This window comes from Homo sapiens, chromosome 14 (assembly GCF_000001405.40).
Source record: "Homo sapiens chromosome 14, GRCh38.p14 Primary Assembly".
In the NCBI taxonomy this organism is placed as follows: Eukaryota; Metazoa; Chordata; class Mammalia; order Primates; family Hominidae; genus Homo; species Homo sapiens.
Genome location: NC_000014.9, coordinates 37,754,285 through 37,777,528, shown reverse-complemented (window position 1 = coordinate 37,777,528; position 23,244 = coordinate 37,754,285). Strand labels below are relative to the sequence as shown.

Here is a 23,244-nt window from a genome sequence, read left to right as displayed (position 1 = left end):
AAGGATTCTAAGGAATACAATAAAATGATACAGCAGATAAAAGATGAAATGGTCATTTTAATAATGAACCAGACTGAACTGATAGAGCTGAAAAAAAGCACTTTAAGAATTTCAGAATACAATTGCAAGTATTAACAGCAGAACAGACCAAGCTGAGTAAAAAAATCTAGAGTTCAAAGACCAGTTCCCTGAAATAACTCAGTCAGACAAAAATAAAGAAAAAACAATAAAGAAGAACAAACAAAACTTCCAAGAAATATGGGATTATGTACATAAACCAAATCTATGATTCATTGGCATTCCTGAAAGAAAGGGAGAGAAATCAAGGAACTTGGAAAATTTATTTCAGTATATCATCCATGAAAATCTCCCCAACTTTGCTAGAAAGGCCAACATTCAAATTCAAGAAATGCAGAGAACCCCTGCAAAATACTACATAAAAAGACCATCCCCAAGACACATAGTCATCAGATTCTCCAAGGTCTAAATGACAGAAAAAAATGCTAAAGGTAGCTAATGAGAAAGGACAGGTCACCTACAAAGGGAACCTCATTAGGCTAACAGCAGACCTTTTAGCAGAAACCCTAGAAGCCAGAAGAGATTGGGGGCCCATATTCAGCAATTTTTTTTTTGAGATGGAGTTTCACTCTTGCGCCCAGGCTAGAGTTAAATGGTGCCATCTCGGCTCACTGCAACCTCAGCCCGCCCCCGCCCAACCCAGATTTAAGTGATTCTCCTGCCTCAGCCTCCCCAGTAGCTGACATTATAGTCACCCCATCTGGCTAAGTTGTGTATTTTTTTGGTAGAGACGGGGTTTCACCACATTGGCCAGGCTGGTCTTGAACTCCTGACCTCTGGTGATCACCTCAGGTGATCCATCCTCAGCCCATATTCAGCATTCTTAAAGAAAAGAATTTCCAACCTAGAATTTCATATCAAATCAAACTAACATTCATAAGTAAAGGAGAAATAAAATCCTTTTCAAACAAGCAAATGATAAGGGAATTCATTACCACCAGACCTGCCTTACAAGAAAGAGGTCCTGAAGGGAATGCTAAATATGGAAAGGAAAGACCATTACAAGCCACTACAAAAACACACTTAAGTACACAGACCAATGATACTATAAAGCAACCACACAAACAAGTCTGCTTAATAACCACCTGGCAACATTATAACAGGATCAAATACACACACATCAACACTAACCTTGAATGTAAACAGGCTAAATGCCCCAATGAAAAGGCATACAGTGGCAAGATGAATAAAGAATCAAGACCCAAACCCCGTCTCTACTAAAAAGACAAAAAATTAGCCGGGCGCGGTGGCGGGCGCCTGTAGTCCCAGCTACTCGGGAGGCTGAGGCAGGAGAATGGCGTGAACCCGGGAATCGGAGCTTGCAGTGAGCCGAGATTGCGCCACTGCACTCCAGCCTGGGCGACAGAGCGAGACTCCGTCTCAAAAAAAAAAAAAAAAAAAAAAAAAGAATCAAGACCCAGTGGTACGCCAAATGCAATGACACCCATCGGCTCAAAGTAAAGGTATGGAGAAAAACCCACCAAGCCAATCAAAATCAGAAAAAAAGGTGGAGATGCTATTTTAATTTAAAACAAAACAGACTTTAAACCAACAAACATCAAAAAAGACAAAGAAGGGCATTACATAATGGTAAAGGGTTCGATCCAACAAGAAGATCTAACTATCCTAAAAATATATGCACCCAACATAGGAGACCTAGATTCATAAAGCAAGTTCTTAGAGACCTATGAAGAGACTTAGATAACCACAAGATAATAGTGGGAGATTTCAACACCCCACTGACAGTATTAACAAGTCATTGAGGCAGAAAACTAACAAAGATATTCAGGAATTGAACCTGACATTTGACCAAATAGACTTAACAGACATCTACAGAACTCTCCACCATACCAACCACACTCTTGGACCACAGCACAGTAAAAATATAAATCAATACTAAGAAAATTGCTCAAAAGCCACAAAATTACATGGAAATTTAAGAACCTACTCCTGAATGACTTTTGGATAAATAATGAAATTAAGACAGAAATCAAACAATTCTATGCAACTAATGGAAACAGAGATACAATATACCAGAATCTCTGGGATACAGCTAACGCAGTGTTAAGAGGAAAGTTTATAGCACTAAATGCCCACATTAGAAACTTAGGAAGATGCCAAATTAACAACCTACCATCACTACTAGAGGAACTAGACAATCAAGAGCAAACCAACCTGAAAGATAGCAGAAAAGAAATAACCAAAATCAGAGCTGAACTGAAGGAAATTGAGATGTGAAAAGCCATACAAAAGATAAACAAATCCAGTAGTTATGTTTTTGAAAGAATTAATAAGATAGATAGACCACTAACTAGGCTAATAAATTACAAAATAAGAAGATCCAAACAGACACAATCAAAAATGACAAAGGGGTGTCATCACTGACCTCACAGAAAAACAAAAACCCTCTGAGACTACTATGAACACTATGCACACAAGCTAGAAAACATAAAGGAAATGAATAAATTCCTGGAAACATATACCCTCCCAAAATTGAAATAGGAACAAATTGACCCTGAATAGTCCAATAACAAGTTCCAAAATTGAATCAGTAATAAAAAGCCTACAAACAAGAAAAAGCCCAGAACCAGAGAGATTCAGAGCCAAATTCTACCAGATGTGTAAAGAAGAGCTGGTACCATTTCTACTGAAACCATTACAAAAATATTGAAGAGGAGAAGCCTCTTCCTAACTCATTCTATGTGGCCAGCATTATCCTGATGTCAAAACCTGTGAGAGACAAACACAAAAATGAAAACTTCAGGCCAACACCCTTGATGAACACAGATGCAAAAATCCTCAGCAAAATACTACCAAACCAAATCCAGCAGCAAGTCAAAAAGCTAATCCACCATGAGCAAGTAGGCTTTATCCCTGAGATGCAAGGTTGTTTACACACGTGCAAATCAATAAATGTGATTCATCACATAAACAGAGCTAAAAACAAAAACCAGATGATTAACTCAATAGACGCAGAAACCTTTATGTTAAAAACCCTTAAAAAACTTGAAATTGAAAGAACATGCTTAAAAATAACAAGAGCCATTGATGACAAACCTATACTCAACACCAAATTGGATGGACAGAAGCTGGTAGCATTCCCCTTAAAAACCAGAAAAAGACAAGTATGCCCTCTCTCACCACTCCTATTGACCATAGTACTGGAAGTCCTGGCCACAGTAATCAGGCAAGAAAAAAAAAGTAGGAATCCAAATAGGATGAGAAGAAGTCAAACTATCCCTATTTCCAGATGATATGATTATATACCTAGAAAACCCCCATAGTTTCTGCCCAAAATTTCATTGATCTAATAAACAACTTCAGAAAAGTTTCAGGATACAAAATCAATGTATAAAAAAGAAGTATCATTCCTCCATACCAAGAATATCCAAACTGAAAGCCAAATCAAGAATGCAATCCCATTCACAATAGCCACAGTAGGAATACAACACCTAGGAATACAGCTAACTAGGGAGGTGAAAGATCTCTACAATGAGAATTACAAAACACTGCTCAAAGGAATCAGAGATGACCACAAACAAACGAAAAAAACATTCCATGCTCATGGATAGAAAGAATCAACATTGTTAAAATGGTCATACTGCCCAAAGCAATTTACACATTCAATAATATTCCTATCAAATTACCAATGAGATTCTTCACAGAATCAGAAAAAGCCATTTTAAAATTCACATGGAACCAAAAAAGAGCCCAAAAAGCCAAGGCAATTCTAAGCAAAAGGAACAAAGCTGGAGGCATTACATTACCCATTTTGAAACTATACTACAAGGCCACAGCAACCAAAACAGCATGGTACTGGTACAAAAACAGACACATAAACAAATGGAACAGAATAAAAAGCCCAGAAATAATACCACACACCTACAACCATCTGATGTTGGACAAAGTTGACAAAAACAAGCAATGGGAAAAGGACTCCCTGTTTAATAAATGGTGCTGGGATGACTGGCTAGCCATATGCAGAAGATTGAAACCCCTACCTTACAGTATATACAAAAATCAACTCAAGATAAAAACTTAAATGCAAAATCTAAAACTATAAAACCTCTGCATGATAACCTAGTAAATATCATTCTGGACACAGGACCTAGCAAGGATTTCATGATGAAAATGCCAGAAGCAAATTGCAACAAAAACAAAGTTGACAAATGGGACCTAATTAAACTAAAGAGCTTCTGCACAGCAAAAGAAACTATCAACAGAGTAAACAGACAACCTACTGAATGGGAGAAAGTATTTGCAAACTGTGTATCTGACAAAGGTCTAATATCCAGAATCTATAAGGAACTTAAAAACAAATGAACAAACAAACAAACAAAAAAACCCACACACAATAGCATTAAAAAGTGGGCCAAGGACATGAACAGACACTTTTCAATAGAAGACATACATGCAGCCAATAAGCATATGAAAAAATGCTCAATATCACTAATCGTTAGAGAAATGCAAATCAAAACCACAATGATATACCATTTCACACCAGTCAGAATGGCTATTATTAAAATGACATTTTCTTGGTGAGGTTGCCAAGAAAAGGGAATGCTTATAGACTGCTAGTGGGGATGTAAACTAGTTAAGCCATTGTGGAAAGTAGTTTGGAGGGAGGAGCCAAGATGGCCGAATAGGAACAGCTCCGGTCTACAGCTCCCAGCGTGAGCAACGCAGAAGACGGGTGATATCTGCATTTCCATCTGAGGTACCGGGTTCATCTCACTAGGGACTGCCAGACAGTGGGCGCAGGTCAGTGGGTGCGCGCACCGTGAGCGAGCCGAAGCAGGGCGAGGCATTGCCTCACTCTGGAAGCGCAAGGGGTCAGGGAGTTCCCTTTCCTAGTCAAAGAAAGGGGTGACGGACGGCACCTGGAAAATCCGTTCGCTCCCACCTGCATACTGCACTTTTCCGACGGGCTTAAAAAACGGCACACTACGAGGTTATATCCCACACGTGGCTCGGAGGGTCCTACGCCCACGGAGTCTCCCTGATTGCTAGCACGGCAGTCTGAGATCAAACTGCAAGGCGGCAGCGAGGCTGGGGAAGGGGCGCCCACCATTGCCCAGGCTTACTTAGGTAAACAAAGCAGCAGGGAAGCTCCAACTGGGTGGAGCCTACCACAGCTCAAGGAGGCCTGCCTGCCTCTGTAGGCTCCACCTCTGGGGGCAGGGCACAGACAAACTAAAAGACAGCAGTAACCTCTGCAGACTTAAATGTCCCTATCTGACAGCTTTGAAGAGAGCAGTGGTTCTCCCAGCACGCAGCTGGAGATCTGAGAACGGGCAGACTGCCTCCTCAAATGGGTCCCTGACCCCTGATCCCCGAGCAGCCTAACTGGGAGGCACCCCCCAGCAGGGGCACACTGACACCTCACACGGCAGGGTACTCCAACAGACCTGCAGCTGAGGGTCCTGTCCGTTAGAAGGAAAACTAACAAACAGAAAGGACATTCACACCAAAAACCCATCTGTACATCACCATCATCAAAGACCAAAAGTAGATAAAACCACAAAGATGGGGAAAAAACAGAACAGAAAAACTGGAAACTCTAAAAAGCAGAGCGCCTCTCCTCCTCCAAAGGAAAGCAGTTCCTCACGAGCAACGGAACAAAGCTGGATGGAGAATGACTTTCACGAGCTGAGAGAAGAAGGCTTCAGACGATCAAATTACTCTGAGCCACAGGAGGACATTCAAACCAAAGACAAAGAAGTTGAAAACTTTGAAAAAAATTTGGAAGAATGTATAACTAGAATAACCAATACAGAGAAGTGCTTAAAGGAGCTGATGGAGCTGAAAACCAAGGCTCGAGAACTACGTGAAGAATGCAGAAGCCTCAGGAGCCAATGCAATCAACTGGAAGAAAGGGTATCAGCAATGGAAGAAGAAATGAATGAAATGAAGCGAGAAGGGAAGCTTAGAGAAAAAAAGCATAAAAAGAAAAGAGCAAACATCCAAGAAATATGGGACTATGTGAAAAGACCAAATCTACGTCCGATTGGTGTACCTGAAAGTGACAGGGAGAATGGAACCAAGTTGGAAAACACTCTGCAGGATATTATCCAGGAGAACTTCCCCAGTCTAGCAAGGTAGGCCAACGTTCAGATTCAGGAAATACAGAGAACGCCACAAAGATACTCCTTGAGAAGAGCAACTCCAAGACACATAATTGTCAGATTCACCAAAGTTGAAATGAAGGAAAAAATGTTAAGTGCAGCCAGACAGAAAGGTCGGGTTACCCTCAAAGGGAAGCCCATCAGACTAACAGTGGATCTCTCGGCAGAAACCCTATAAGCCAGAAGAGAGTGGGGGCCAATATTCAACATTCTTAAAGAAAAGAATTTTCAACCCAGAATTTCATATCCAGCCAAACTAAGCTTCATAAGTGAAGGAGAAATAAAATACTTTACAGACAAGCAAATGCTGAGAGATTTTGTCACCACCAGGCCTGCCCTAAAAGAGCTCCTGAAGGAAGCACTAAACATGGAAAGGAACAACCGGTACCAGCCGCTGCAAAATCATGCCAAAATGTAAAGACCATCGAGACTAGGAAGAAACTGCATCAACTAATGAGCGAAATAACCAGCTAACATCATAATGACAGGATCAAATTCACACATAACAATATTAACTTTAAATGTAAATGGACTAAATGCTCCAATTAAAAGACACAGACTGGCAAATTGGATAAAGAGTCAAGACCCATCAGTGTGCTGTATTCAGGAAACCCATCTCACGTGCAGAGACACACATAGGCTCAAAATAAAAGGATGGAGGAAGATCCACCAAGCAAATGAAAAACAAAAAAAGGCAGGGGTTGCAATCCTAGTCTCTGATAAAACAGACTTTAAACCAACAAAGATCAAAAGAGACAAAGAAGGCCATTACATAATGGTAAAGGGATCACTTCAACAAGAAGAGCTAACTATCCTAAATATATATGCACCCAATACAGGAGCACCCAGATTCATAAAGCAAGTCCTGAGTGACCTACAAAGAGACTTAGACTCCCACACATTAATAATGGGAGACTTTAACACCCCACGGTCAACATTAGACAGTTCAATGAGACAGAAAGTCAACAAGGATACCCAGGAATTGAACTCAGCTCTGCACCAAGCAGACCTAATAGACATCTACAGAACTCTCCACCCCAAATCAACAGAATATACATTTTTTTCAGCACCACACCATACCTATTCCAAAACTGACCACATAGTTGGAAGTAAAGCTCTCCTCAGCAAATGTAAAAGAACAGAAATTATAACAAACTATCTCTCAGACCACAGTGCAATCAAACTAGAACTCAGGATTAAGAATCTCACTCAAAACCGCTCAACTACATGGAAACTGAACAACCTGCTCCTGAACGACTACTGGGTACATAACGAAATGAAGGCAGAAATAAAGATGTTCTTTGAAACCAACGGGAACAAAGACACAACATACCAGAATCTCTGGGACGCATTCAAAGCAGTGTGTAGAGGGAAATTTATAGCACTAAATGCCCACAAGAGAAAGCAGGAAAGATTCAAAATTGACACCCTAACATCACAATTAAAAGAACTAGAAAAGCAAGAGCAAACACATTCAAAAGCTAGCAGAAGGCAAGAAATAACTAATATCAGAGCAGAACTGAAGGAAATAGAGACACAAAAAACCATTCAAAAAATTAATGAATCCAGGAGCTGGTTTTTTGAAAGGATCAACAAAATTGATAGACTACTAGCAAGACTAATAAAGAAAAAAAGAGAGAAGAATCAAATAGATGCAATAAAAAATGATAAAGGGGATATCACCACTGATCCCACAGAAATACAAACTACCATCAGAGAATACTACAAATACCTCTACAGAAATAAACTAGAAAATCTAGAAGAAATGGATAAATGCCTCGACACATACACTCTCCCAAGACTAAACCAGGAAGAAGTTGAATCTCTGAATAGACCAATAACAGGAGCTGAAATTGTGGCAATAATCAATAGCTTACCAACCAAAAAGAGTCCAGGATCAGATGGATTCACAGCCGAATTCTACCAGAGGTACAAGGAGGAACTGGTACCATTCCTTCTGAAACTATTCCAATCAATAGAAAAAGAGGGAATCCTCCCTAACTCATTTTATGAGGCCAGCATCATTCTGATACCAAAGCCGGGCAGAGACACAATCAAAAAAGAGAATTTTAGACCAATATCCTTGATGAACATTGATGCAAAAATCCTCAATAAAATACTGGCAAAACGAATCCAGCAGCACATCAAAAAGCTTATCCATCATGATCAAGTGGGCTTCATCCCTGGGATGCAAGGCTGGTTCAATATACGCAAATCAATAAATGTAATCCAGCATATAAACAGAGCCAAAGACAAAAACCACATGATTATCTCAATAGATGCAGAAAAGGCCTTTGACAAAATTCAACAGCCCTTCTTGCTAAAAACTCTCAATAAATTAGGTATTGATGGGACGTATTTCAAAATAATAAGAGCTATCTATGACAAACCCACAGCCAATATCATACTGAATGGGCAAAAACTGGAAGCATTCCCTTTGAAAACTGGCACAAGACAGGGATGCCCTTTCTCACCACTCCTATTCAACATAGTGTTGGAAGTTCTGGCCAGGGCAATCAGGCAGGAGAAGGAAATAAAGGGTATTCAATTAGGAAAAGAGGAAGTCAAATTGTCCTTCTTTGCAGACGACATGATTGTATATCTAGAAAACCCCATTGTCTCAGCCCAAAATCTCCTTAAGCTGATAAGCAACTTCAGCAAAGTCTCAGGATACAAAATCAATGTACAAAAATCACAAGCATTCTTATACACCAACAACAGACAAACAGAGAGCCAAATCATGAGTGAACTCCCATTCACAATTGCTTCAAGGAGAATAAAATACGTAGGAATCCAACTTACAAGGGAAGTGAAAGACCTCTTCAAGGAGAACTACAAACCACTGCTCAATGAAATAAAAGAGGATACAAACAAATGGAAGAACATTCCATGCTCATGGGTAGGAAGAATCAATATCGTGAAAATGGCCATACTTCCCAAGGTAATTTATAGATTCAATGCCATCCCCATCAAGCTACCAATGACTTTCTTCACAGAATTGGAAAAAACTACTTTAAAGTTCATATGGAACCAAAAAAGAGCCCGCATCACCAAGTCAATCCTAAGCCAAAAGAACAAAGCTGGAGGCATCACTCTACCTGACTTCAAACTATACTACAAGGCTACAGTAACCAAAACAGCATGGTACTGGTACCAAAACAGAGATATAGATCAATGGAACAGAACAGAGCCCTCAGAAATAACGCCGCATATCTACAACTATCTCATCTTTGACAAACCTGAGAAAAACAAGCAATGGGGAAAGGATTCCCTATTTAATAAATGGTGCTGGGAAAACTGGCTGGCCATATGTAGAAAGCTGAAACTGGATCCCTTCCTTACACCTTATACAAAAATCAATTCAAGATGGATTAAAGACTTAAACATTAGACCTAAAACCATAAAAACCGTAGAAGAAAACCTAGGCATTACCATTCAGGACATAGGCATGGGCAAGGACTTCATGTCTAAAACACCAGAAGCAATGGCAACAAAAGTCAAAATTGACAAATGGGATCTAATTAAACTAAAGAGCTTCTGCACAGCAAAAGAAACTACCATCAGAGTGAACAGGCAACCTACAAAATGGGAGAAAATTTTCGCAGCCTACTCATCTGACAAAGGGCTAATATCCAGAATCTACAATGAACTCAAACAAATTTACAAGAAAAAAACAAACAACCCCATTAAAAAGTAGGCGAAGGACATGAACAGACACTTCTCAAAAGAAGACATTTATGTAGCCAAAAAACACATGAAAAAATGTTCATCATCACCGGCCATCAGAGAAATGCAAATCAAAACCACAATGAGATACCATCTCACACCAGTTAGAATGGCAATCATTAAAAAGTCAGGAAACAACAGGTGCTGGAGAGGATATGGAGAAATAGGAACACTTTTACACTGTTGGTGGAACTGTAAACTAGTTCAACCATTGTGGAAGTCAGTGTGGCGATTCCTCAGGGATCTAGAACTAGAAATACCATTTGACCCAGCCATCCCATTACTGGGTATATACCCAAAGGACTATAAATCATGCTGCTATAAAGACACAGGCACACGTATGTTTACTGCGGCATTATTCACAATAGCAAAGACTTGGAACCAACCCAAATGTCCAACAATGATAGACTGGATTAAGAAAATGTGGCACATATACACCATGGAATACTATGCAGCCATAAAAAATGATGAGTTCTTGTCCTTTGTAGGGACATGGATGAAATTGGAAATCATCATTCTCAGTAAACTATCATGAGAACAAAAAACCAAACACCGCATATTCTCACTCATAGGTGGGAATTGAACAATGAGATCACATGGACACAGGAAGGGGAACATCACACTGGGGACTGCTGTGGGATGTGGGGAGGGGAGAGGGATAGCATTGGGAGATATACCTAATGCTAGATGACGAGTTAGTGGGTGCAGTGCACCAGCGTGGCACATGTATACATACGTAACTAACCTGTACAATGTGCACATGTACCCTAAAACTTAAAGTATAATAATAAAAAATAAAAAAAAGAAAGTAGTTTGATGATTTCTCAAAGAACTCAAAGCAGAATTACCATTCAACCCAGCAATCACATTATTGGGTATATACCCAAAGAAATATAAATCATTGTACCATAAAGACACATGCATGTGTATGTTCACTGAAGCAATTTTCACAATAGTAAAGACATGGAATCAATCTAAATGCCCATCAATGACAGATTGAGTAAAGAAAACGTGGTACATATACAGCATGGAACACTATGCAGCCATAAAAATGAACAAGATCATGTCCTTTGCAGTGGCATGAATAAAACTGGAGGATATTATCCTAAGCAAACTAATGCAGGAACAGAAAACCAAATACTGCATGTTCTCACTTATAAGTAGGAGCTAGATATTGAGAACACATGGACACAAATAAGGGAACAATAGACATGGGGTTCTACTTGAGAGTGGAGAGAGGGAGGCTAAGGAACAAAAAACTACGTATTGGTTACTGTGCTTATCACCTTGGTGATGAAATAATTTGTAAACCAAACCCCTGTGACACAAATTTACCTATATCATAAATGTGCATATGTACCTCTGAACCTAAAATAAAAGTTAAAAAAAGAAACAACCAACATATGCATATGTTGTGAGTTCCAGAAGGAAGAGAAAAAGAAAGGAGCAGAAATAACACTTTTAAAATGGATGGTTGAAAACTTCCCAAATTTGATGAAAGAAATGAATGTATTAATCCAAGAAGTTCAAGGACTCCAATCAGGATGAACTCAAAGAGTTTCACATAGAGACACATTATGATCAATCTGTCAACAACCAAAGACAAAGAAAATCTTGGGGGATGGTGTGGGAGAGAATATTGAAAGCACCAAGAGAGATGTGACTCATCATATACAAAGGATCTTCAATAAGACTAATGCAATTTCTCATTAGAAATCACAGAGATCAGAAGGCAGTAGATAACATATTTAAAGTGCTTTAAAAAAAAATCAAGCAAGAATTCTATACCTGGCAAACTAGCCTTCAAAAATGAAGGAGAAATCAAAGCATTTCCGAGTAAATGAAACCTGAAGAAGTCCATTGCTAGTAAACCTATTTTACAAAAAAGGCTGAAAGGAGTCCCTAAGGCTGACATGAAAGACACTAGATGGAAACTTGAAACCATACAACAAGGTAAAGAACACCAACAAAAGTACTGAATAGGTAAATTTAAAAGCCAGTAGCACAGTACTTTTGGTTTCTAATTACTCTTTTTGTTCTATGTGACATAAAAGACAAATGCATAAAACACTAATAAGTCTATGTCACTGGGCATACAATGTATAAGGATGTAATTTGTGATAGGGTGCAGTGGCTCATGTCTGTAATCCCAGCACTTCAGGATCACAAAGTTGGGGGATTGCTTGAGGCGAAGCGTTTGAAACTAACCTGGGTTACAAATTTTTTTTTTAATTTAAATTTTGTGCCTCTCTACAAAAAAAAAAAAAAAAAAAATTAGGTGTGGTGGTGTGCACCTATAGTCCTAGCTACCTGGGAGTCTGAGGTGGGAGGATCACTTGAGCCTAGGAGTTCAAGACTGTAGTAAGCTGTGATTGCACCACTATATTCCAGCCTGGGGCACAGAGTGAGATCCTGTCTCTAAAAAAAATTTTTTTAATATTTATAAAGATGTAATTTGCAACAATAACAACATCAAGTTGGGGACAAACTTATACAGGCACAAAATTTTTATAGACTATTGAAACTAAGTTGATATTAATTCAAACTACATTATTATAAATTAACATCATTATTCAAAGGTAATCACAAAGACAATAACTAAAAATTATACAGTAAAAGAAATGAGAAGGAAATCAAAATGGTAGAAAAAAATCAATTAAAAAGTAAAGCAATTATGGAGAAATTGAAAAACAAAAAATATACAATATAAAAAATATAAATACAGTATACAATATAATACACAAAATATACAAAATACAATATAAAATATACATATGAAAAACAAATAGCAAAATGGCAGAGTTATCTCTCCTTAACATTAATTGCATTAAATGTAAATAGGTTAAATTGTCTAATCTAAAGGAAGATATTGGGAAAATAATTTTTACAAACTATAATATAGCTACATGATATCTAGGAAAAAAACTCAATTCAGATCAAAGATACAAATCGGTTGAAAGTGAAAGGATGGGAAAAGGTATTCCACACAAATATTAGCCAAAAGAGAGTGGGAGTAGCTTTGCTAATATCAGACCAAATAGATTTTAAGGCAATAATTAATACAAGGGACAAAGAAGACCATTACATATTGATGAAAGAGTCAATCAATCAGTAAGATATGACCATTATAAACACAGTCAAAAACAGAGCCCCAAAATATATGCAGCAAAGACTAACAGAATTGGAGGGAGAAATAAACAATTCTATAATAATAGTTGGAGACTTCAATACCTCACTTTCAATTATGAATAGAACAACTAGACAGAAGTTCAACAATGAAACAGAGGACTTGAACAGTAGTATAAACTAACTAGACCTAACAAACATATATAGAACACTTCATCTAACAACAGCTGAGTACAAATTCTTCTCAGGCAAACTTGGAACATTCTTAGGACAGACCATATGTTAGGCCATAACACAAGTCCCAGTAAATTTTAAAGATGGATCATACAAAGTATATTTTCTAACTACAATGGATAAAACTAGAAAACAATAACAGAAGAAAATTTGGGAAATTCACAAGTACGTGGAAATTAAATGGCAGATAGGTCAAAGGGAAAATTACAAAGGAAATTAAAAAATACTTTGAGACAAATGAAAGGTAATACAACATACCAAAACTTAGGAGATGCAGCAAAGCAATGAGAAATGTATAGCTATAAATGCATACATTAAATAAGAAGAAAGATCTCAAGCCAGTAACGTTACTTTCTGCCTTAATAAGCCAAGAAAAATAAAAGAAAACTAAACCTAAAGCAAGCAGAAGGAAGGAAATAATAAAGATTAGAGCAAAGATAAATGAAATAGAGAATATGAAAACAATAGAATCAACAAAGCCAAATGTTGGTGTTTTTAAATATCAACAAAATTGACAATTCCTTAGCTAGACCGACTAAGAAGAAAAGATGACTCAAATTACGAAAATAAGAAATGAAAGTGTGAACATTGCTACTACCCTTGAAGAAATAAAAAGTAGTATTATGTAAAAGAATACTATGAACAATTGCATGCTAACAAATTGGAAGAACTTAGAAGAAATGACGAAATTCCTAGAAATACCCAAACTTCCAAAACCAACTCAAGAAGAAATAGAAAGCCTGAATAGATCATATCAAGCGAAGAAATTGAATTAGTCATCAAAAAACATAGAAAAGCCAAGGACCAGAACATGTCAACAGTAAATTCTACCAAGTGTCTGAAAAATTAACACCAAGCGTTCTCAAAATCTCCCTACAAATAAAGAAGAAAATACTTCCTCATTCACTTTATTAAAGCAGCATTACCCTGTTATTAAAGCCAGACAAAGACAGCACAAACACACACCAATGTCCCTTACCAATATAGATGCAAAAATCATCAATAAAATATGAGCAAATTGAATGCAACAGTATATTAAAAGAAAGATACAGGGCCGGGTGCAGTGGCTCACGTCTGTAATCCCAGCACTTTGGGAGGCTGAGGCAGGCGGATCATGAAGTCGGGAGATTGAGACCATCCTGGCTTACATGGTGAAACCCCGTCTCTACTAAAAATACAAAAAAAAAATTAGGCGGGTGTGGTGGTGGGCATCTGTAGTCCCAGCTACTCCGGAGGCTGAGGCAGGAGAATGGCGTGAACCCGGGAGGTGGAGCTTGCAGTGAGCCCAGATGGCACCACTGCACTCCAGCCTGCCTGGGGAACAGAGCCAGACTCCGTCTCAAAAAAAAAAAAAAAAGAAAAGAAAAGAAAAGAAAAAGAAAAAGAAAGATACACTACGATCAAGCGGGATTAATCCTAGTAACACAAGGTTGGTTCAACACGTGTAAATAAATCAATGTAATATACCACATAAATTGAATGAAAACAAAAGCAAAAATACACAAGTGGCATTACATCAAACTGAAAAGCTTCTGCACAGCAAAGGAAACAATTAAAGTGAAGAAGCAACCTTCAGAATGGGAGAAAACAACCCAATTAAAAAATGGGCAAAAGACCTGAGTACATATTTCTCAAAAGAAGACATATAAATGACCAACAGGTATATGAAAAAATGCTCAACATCATTAGGGAAATGAAAAATTAAAACCACAATGAGCTATCACTTCACACTATTACCAAAAGATGAAAGATAACAAATTTGGCGAGGATTTTGAGAAAAGGGAACTCTTGTACACTGTTGGTGGGATTTTAAGTTAATACAGCCATTATGAAAAACAGTATGGTGGTGCCTTAAAAACTAAAAATAGAGTCACCATATGGTCCAGCAATCCACTTCTGGGTATATATCCAAAGTATTTGAAATCAGTATGTCAAAGAGACATCTGTACTCCACATTTCTTAGAGCATTATTTACAATAGCCAAGATAAGAAATCAAGCTAAGTGTCTATCAACAGATGAATAAGCAAAGAAAATGTGTCTTATATACACAATTAAATACTATTCAGCCTTTTCTTAAAAAAAAAGGGAAATCCCACCACTTACAACAATACGAATTAACTTGGAAGACATTATGTTAAGCAAAATAAGCCAGGCGGAGAAAAATACCAAATGTTCTCGTTTATATGTGGAATCTAAAACAAATATATAGAGGCAGCGAGTAGAACAATACTGGTTATTAGAGGTTGGGTGTTATGAAAAATGGGGAATTGTTGGTCAAAGAGTACAATGTTTCAGTTAGACAGGAGGAAAAAATGGTAAGTATTTGAGGTGACGGATATGTTAATAAGCTCAATTCAATCATCACAGATTGTATACATGTATCATAACATCACTTTGTATCCCATAAATATGAAGTGAAGAAACTAGAGCCACATGCAACAGCACATAATACTCAGAGAAAGAAGCTAGACATAAAAGAATACTATCATATAATTCAATTTATATAAAGTTCAAAAAATAGGCAAAATTAAACTAAGAATGTTTACGAACACATACTTATTTGAGGCAACTATAAAGAACTATAAGGAAGTGATTAAAATAGACAGTGGTTGTCTTCCCCCAGGAAAGACAAAGGCATGAGGGGGTTTCTAGATTGTTGGAAATGACCTGATGATGGTTACATGGGTATTGACACTATGATAAGTCATTATGCTGTACATTTCCATTTTGTACACTTTTCTGGATATAAGCTTTATTTTACCTTAAAAATGATTTAGGGAGATCAGCCAAGATGGCCGCATAGGAAGAGTTCTGGTCTGCAGCTCCCAGCAAGACCCACGCAAAAGGTGGGTGATTTCTGCATTTCCCACTGAGGTACCAGTTCATCTTATCGGGACTGGTTAGGCAGTGGGTGCAGCCAACAGAAGGCAAGCAGAAGCAGGGTGGGGTGTTGCCTCACCTGGGAAGTGCAAGGAGCCAGGGACCTCCCTCCCCAACCAAGGGAAGCCATGAGGGACTATGCTACCCAGCCTAGATACTACACTTTTCCCATGGTTATTGCAATCTGCAGATCAGGAGACTCCCTGTGTGCCTACACCACAAGGACCCTGGGTTTCAAGCACAAAACTGGGTGGCTGTTTGGGCAGACACCGAGCTAGCTGCAGGAGTTCTTTTTAGTACCCCAGTGGCACCTGGAACTCCAGTGAGACAGAACCACTTACTCCCCTGGAAAGGGGGCTGAAGCCAGGGAGCCAAGTTGTCTCACTCAGTGGGTCCCACTCCCATGGAGCCCAGCAAGCTAAGAACCACTGGCTTGAAATTCTCGCTGCCAGGGCAACAGTCTGAAGTCGACCTGGGATGATCTAACTTGGTGCAGGGAGGGGCATCCATCATTACAGAGGCTTGAGTAGGTGGTTTTCCCCTGATAGTGCTAAGGAGGCCAGGGAGGTTTGGACTGGGGGGAATTCACCACAGTGCGGCAAAGCGGCTGTGGCCAGACTGCCTCTCTAGATTCCTCCTCACTGGGCAGGGTGTCTCTGAAAGAAAGGCAGCAGTCCCAGTTAGGGGCTTATAGATAAAACTCCCATCTCCCTGGGACAGAGCACCTGAGGAAAGGGGCAGCTGTGGGTGCAGCTTCAGTGGACTTAAACGTTCCTGCCTGCTGGCTCTGAAGAGAGCAGCTGATCCTGACAAGGAAGATTCTAACAGCACAGCACTTGAGCTCTGCTAAGGGACAGACTGCCTCCTCAAGTGGGTCCCTGACCCCTGTGCCTCCTTTCTGGGAGAGACCTCCCAACAGGGGTCGACAGACACCTCATACAGGAGAGCTCTGGCTGGAATCAGGCCAGTGCCCCTCTGGGACAAAGGTTCCTGAGGAAGGAGCAGGAAGCAAACTGCTTTTCTGCAGCCTCCACTGGTGATACCCAGGCAAACAGGTTCTGAAGTGAACCTCCAGCAAACTGCAGCAGACCTACAGAACAGGGGCCTGACTCTTAGAAGAAAAGCTAACAAACAGAAAGCAACAACATCAACATCAACAAAAAGGACACCCACACAAAAACCCCATCCAAAGGTCATCAGCCTCAGAGATCAAAGATAGATAAATCCACGAACATGAGGAAGAACCAGTGCAAAAAAGCTGAAAATTCCAAAAACCAGAATGCCTCTTCTCCAAATGATTGCAACTCCTCTCCAGTGAGGGCACAAAACTGGATAGAGAATGAGATTGACGAATTGACAGAAGTTGGCTTCGGAAGGTGGGTAATAACAAGCTCCTCTGAGCTGAAGGAGCATATTCTAACCCAATGCAAGGAAGCTAAACACCTTGATAACAGGTTAACAGGAACTGCTAACTAGAATAACCAATTTCGAGAAGAAGATAAATGACCTGATGGAGCTGAAAAACAAGGACAAGAACTTCGTGAAGCATACACAAGTATCAATAGCCAAATCAATCAAGTAGAAAAAAGGATATCAGACATTGAAGATAAACTTACTGAAGTAAGATGTGAAGACAAGATTAGACAAGAAAGAATGAAAAGGAATGAACAAAGCCCCCAAGAAATATGGGACTATGTGAAAAGACCAAACCTACGATTGATTGGTATACCTGGAAGTAACAGGGAGAATGGAACCAAGTTGGAAAACACACTTCAGGATGTTATCCGGGAGAACCGCAATCTAGCGAAACAGGCCAACATTCAAATTCGGGAAACACAGAGAACACCACTAAAATACTCATCGAGAAGTGCAATCCCAAGAAACATAATCGTCAAATTCTCCAAAGCTGAAACAAAGGAAAAAATGTTAAGGGCAGCCAAAGAGAAAGGTCAAGTTACCCACAAAGGGAAGCCCATCAGACTAACAGTGGATTTCTCTGCAGAAACCCTACAAGCCAGAAGAGAGTGGGGTGGCAATATTCAACATTCTTAAAGAAAAGAACTTTCTTTTTTTTCTTTTTTTCTTTTTTTTTTTTTGAGATGGAGTCTGGCTATTTCGCCCAGGCTGTAGTACAGTGGTGCGATCTCGGCTCATTGCAACCTCCGCCTCCCAGGTACAAGCGATTCTCCTGCCTCAGCCTCCTGAGTACCTGGGACTATAGGCATATGCCACCACGCCTGGCTAATTTTTAGTAGAGACAGAGTTTTGCCATGTTAGCCAGGATGGTCTCAATCTCCTGATCTCATGATCTGCCCACCTTGGCCTCCCAAAGTGCTGGGATTACAGGCGTGAGCCACCACACCCAGCAGAAAAGAATTTGCAACCCAGAATTTCATATCCAACCAAACTAAGCTTCATAAGTGAAGGAGAAATAGAATCCTTTCCAGACAAGCAAATGATGATGGATTTTGTCACCACCAGGCCTGCCTTACAAGAGCTCCTGAAGGAAGCACTAAACATGGAAAGGAAAAACCGGTACCAGCCACTGCAAAAACACACCAAAATATAAAGACCAATGACACTATGAAGAAACTGCACCAACTAATGTATAAAATAACCAGCTAGCATCATGATGACAGGATAAAATTCACACAACACAATATTAACCTTAAATGTAAATGGACTAAATGCCCAAATTAAAAGATACAGACATGCAAATTGGATAAAGAGTCAAGACCCATCGGTGTGCTACATTCAGGAGACCCATCTCTCTTGCAAAGATACACATAGGCTCAAAATAAAGGGATGGAGGAAGAACTACCAAGCAAATGGAAAGCAAAAAAAAGCAGGGGTTACAATCTTAGTCTCTGATAAAACAGACTTTAAATAAACAAAGATCAAAAAAGACAAAGAAGGCCGTTACATAATGGTAAAGTGATCACTTCAACAAGAAGAGCTAACTATCCTAAATATATATGCACCCAATACAATACAGGAGAACCCAGATTCACAAAGCAAGTTCTTAGAGACCTACAAAGTGACTTAGACTCCCACACAATAATAATGGGAGACTTTATCATTCCATTGTCAATATTGGACATATCAACAAGACAAAAAATTGACAAGGATATTCAGGACTTGAACTCAGCTCTGGGCCAAGTGGACCTAAGAGACACCTACAGAACTCTCCACACCAAATCAACAGAATATACATTCTTCTCAGCACCACATCACACTTATTCTAAAACGGACCACATAATTGGAAGTAAAACACTCCTCAGCAAATGCAAAAGAATGGAAATCATAACAAACAGTATCTCAGGCCACAGTGCAATCAAATTAGAACTCAGGATTAAGAAACTCAGTTAAAACCGCATAATTACATGGAAACTGAACAACCAGCTCCTGAATGACTACTGGGTAAATAATGAAATTAAGACAGAAATAAATAAGTTCTTTGAAAGCAATAAGAACAAAGACGCAACATACCAGAATCTCTGGGACACAGCTAAAGTTAAGAGGGAAATTTATAGCACTAAATGCCCACAAGAGAAAGCAGGAACAATCTAAAATCGACACCCTAATATCACAATTAAAAGAACTGGAGAAGCAAGAGCAAACAAATTCAAAAGCTAGCAGAAGAGAAGAAATAAAAAAGATCAGAGCAGAACTGAAGGAGGTAGAGACATGAAAAACCCTTCAAATAATCAATGAATCCAGGAGTTGGTTTTTTATTTTTTAAGATTAACAAATAGATGGATCTCTAGCTAGATTAATAAAGAAGAAGGCCAGGCGCAGTGGCTCATGCCTGTAATCCCAGCATTTTGGAAGGCCAAGGTGGGTGGATCACGAGGTCAGGAGATCGAGATCATCCTGACTAACACGGTGAAACCCCATCTCTACTAAAAATACAAAAAATAAAAATAAAAAATTAGCCGGGCATGGTGGCAGACACCTGTAGTCCCAGCTACTCAGGAGGCTGAGGCAGGAGAATGGCATGAACCTGGGAGGCGGAGCTTGCAGTGAACCAAGATCGAGCCACTGCACTCCAGCCTGGGTGACAGAGCAAGATTCCATCTCAAGAAAAAGTAATTAATTAATTAATTAATTAAAATAAAGAAGAAAAGAGAAGAATCAAATAGACACAATAAAAAATGATAAAGGGGATATGACCACTGATCCCACAGAAATACAAACTACCATCAGAGAACACTACAAACACCTCCACACAAACTAGAAAATCTAGAAGAAATGGATAAATTCCTGGACACATACCCCCTCCCAAGACTAAACCAGGAAGAAATCGAATCCCTGAATAGACCAATAACAAGTTCTGAAATTCAGGCAGTAATTAATAGCCTGCCAACCAAAAAAAGTCAAGGACCAGGCAGATTCACAGACGAATTCTACCAGAGGTACAAAGAGAAGCTAGTACCATTCCTTCTGAAACTGTTCCAAACAATAGAAAAAGAGGGACTCCTCTGTAACTCATTTTATGAGGACAGTATCATGCTGATACCAAAACCTGGTAGAGACACAACAAAAAAAAAGAAAATTTCAGGTCAATATCGCTGATGAACATCGATGTGAAAATCCTCAATAAAATACTGGCAAACCAAATCCAACAGCACATCAGAAAGCTTATCCACCATGACTGAGTCGGCTTTATCCCTGGGATGCAAGGCTGGTTCAACATACGCAAACAAATTAATGTAATCCATCACATAAATAGAACCAATAACAAAAATCACATGATTATCTCAATAGATGCAGAAAAAGCCTTCAATAAAATTCAACACCCTTTCATGCTAGAAACTCTCAATAAACTAGGCATTGAAGGAATGTATTCAAAATAATAAGAACTATTTATGACAAACCCATAATATATATCACACAGAATGGCCAAATGCTGGAAGCATTCCCTTTGAAAACTGGCACAAGACAAGGATGCCTCTCTCACCACTCCTATTCAACATAGTATTGGAAGTTCTGGCCAGTGAAATCAGGCAAGAGAAAGGAATAAAGCATATTCATATAGGAAGAGAAGAAGTCAAATTATCTCTGTTTGCAGACGACATGATTGTATATTTAGAAAACGCCATCATCTCAGCCCCAAATCTCCTTAAGCTGATAAGCAACTTCAGCAGTCTTAGGATACAAAATCAATGTGCAAAAATCACAAGCATTCCTATACACCAATAATAGACGAACAGAGAGCCAAATCATGAGTGAACTCCCATTCACAATTGCTACAAAGAGAATAAAATATCTAAGAATACAACTTACAAGGGACATGAAGGACCTCTTCAAGGAGTACAAACCACTGCTCAAGGAAATAAGAGAGGAGACAAACAAATGGCAAAACATTCCATGCTCACGGATAGGAAGAATCATTATCATGAAAATGGCCATACTGCCCAAAGTAATTTGTAGATTCAATGTTATTCCCATCAAGCTACCACTGACTTTCTTCACAGAATTAGAAACAACTATTTTAAAGTTCATATGGAACCACAAAATACCCCATATAGCCAAGACAATCCTAAGCAAAAAGAACAAAGCTGGAAGCATCACACTACCTGACTTCACACTATACTACAAGGCTACAGTAACCAAAACAGCATGGTTCTGGTATCAAAACAGATACAGAGACCAATGGAACAGAACAGAGACCTCAGAAATAACACCACACATATATACATAAAAAGCAACAGGGAAAGGATTCCCTATTTAATAAATGGTGCTGGGGAAACTGGCTAGCCATATGCAGAAAACAGAAACTGGACCCCTTCCTTACACCTTATACAAAAATTAACTCAAGATGGAATAAATATTTAAACATAAAACCTAAAACCATAAAAACCCTAGAAGAAAACTTAGGCAATGCCATTCAGCACATAGGCATGGGCAAAGACTTCATGTCTAAAACACCAAAAGCAATGGCAACAAAAGCCAAAATAGATAAATGGGATCTAATTAAACTAAAGAGCTTCTGTGCAGCAAATGAAACTATCATCAGAATGAACAGGCAACCTGCAGAATGGAAGAAAATTTTTGCAATCTATTCATCTGACAAAGGTCTAATATCCAGAATCTACAAGGAACTTAAACCAATTTACAAGAAAAAAAAACATCAAAAAGTGGGCAAAGAATGTGAACATACACTTCTCAAAAGAAGACATTTATGAAGCCAACAAACATATGAAAAAAAGATCATCAATGCAAATCAAAACCACAATGAGATATCATCTCATGCCAGTTAGAATGCTGATAAAAAGTCAGGTAACAACAGATGCTGGAAAGGGTGTGGAGAAGTAGGAACGCTTTTACACTGTTGGTGGGAGTGTAAATTAGTTCAACCATTGTGGAAGATAGTGTGGCAATTCCTCAAGGATCTAGAACCAGAAATAGAATTTGATACAGCAATCCCATTACAGGGTATATACCCAAAGGATTATAAATCATTCTACTATAATGACACATGCACACATATGTTTACTGCAGCAATATTTACAATAGCAAAGACTTGGAACCAACCCAAATGCCCATCAATTATAGACTTACAAAGAAAATGTGGCACATATACACCATGGAATACTATGCAGCCATAAAAAAGAAGGAGTCCAGTCCGGGCATGGTGGCTCATGCCTGTAATCCCAGCACTTTGGGAGACCAAGATGGGTGGATCACCTAAGGTCAGAAGTCTGAGACCAGCCTGGCCAACATGGTAAAACCCTGTCTCTACTAAAAATACAACAATTAGCCAGGTGTGGTGGCAGATGCCTGTAATCCCAACTACTCGGAAGGCTGAGGCAGGAAAATCACTTGAACCCAGCAGGCAGAGGTTGCAGTGAGCCAAGACTTTGCCATCGCACTCCAGTCTGGGTGACAAGAGCGAAATTCTGTCTCAAAAAAAAAAAAGAAAGAAAGAAAAAGATAAGAATGAGTTCATGTCCTTTGCACATGGATGAAGCTGGAAACCATCATTCTCAGCAAATTAATACAGGAACAGAAAACCAAACACCGGATGTTCTCACTTATAAGTGGGAATTGAACTATGAGAACACATGGACA

General features: G+C 39.0%; 1 protein-coding gene across 16 annotated transcripts in view; it reads right to left on the bottom strand.

Annotated features, from left to right (window-relative positions):
• TTC6 (tetratricopeptide repeat domain 6) overlaps window positions 1-23,244 on the bottom strand; it is a 247,089-nt gene that overhangs the window by 65,189 nt on the left and 158,656 nt on the right. The window contains exon 1 of one of the 16 annotated variants that reach the window (NM_001368142.2): window positions 4,959-5,146. The exons of the other annotated variants lie outside the window; for them this stretch is intronic. The gene's annotated coding sequence lies outside the window, so the exon portion shown is untranslated. Of the gene's footprint in view, window positions 1-4,958; window positions 5,147-23,244 lie in introns of those variants that run through there. 16 annotated transcript variants of the gene reach the window in all.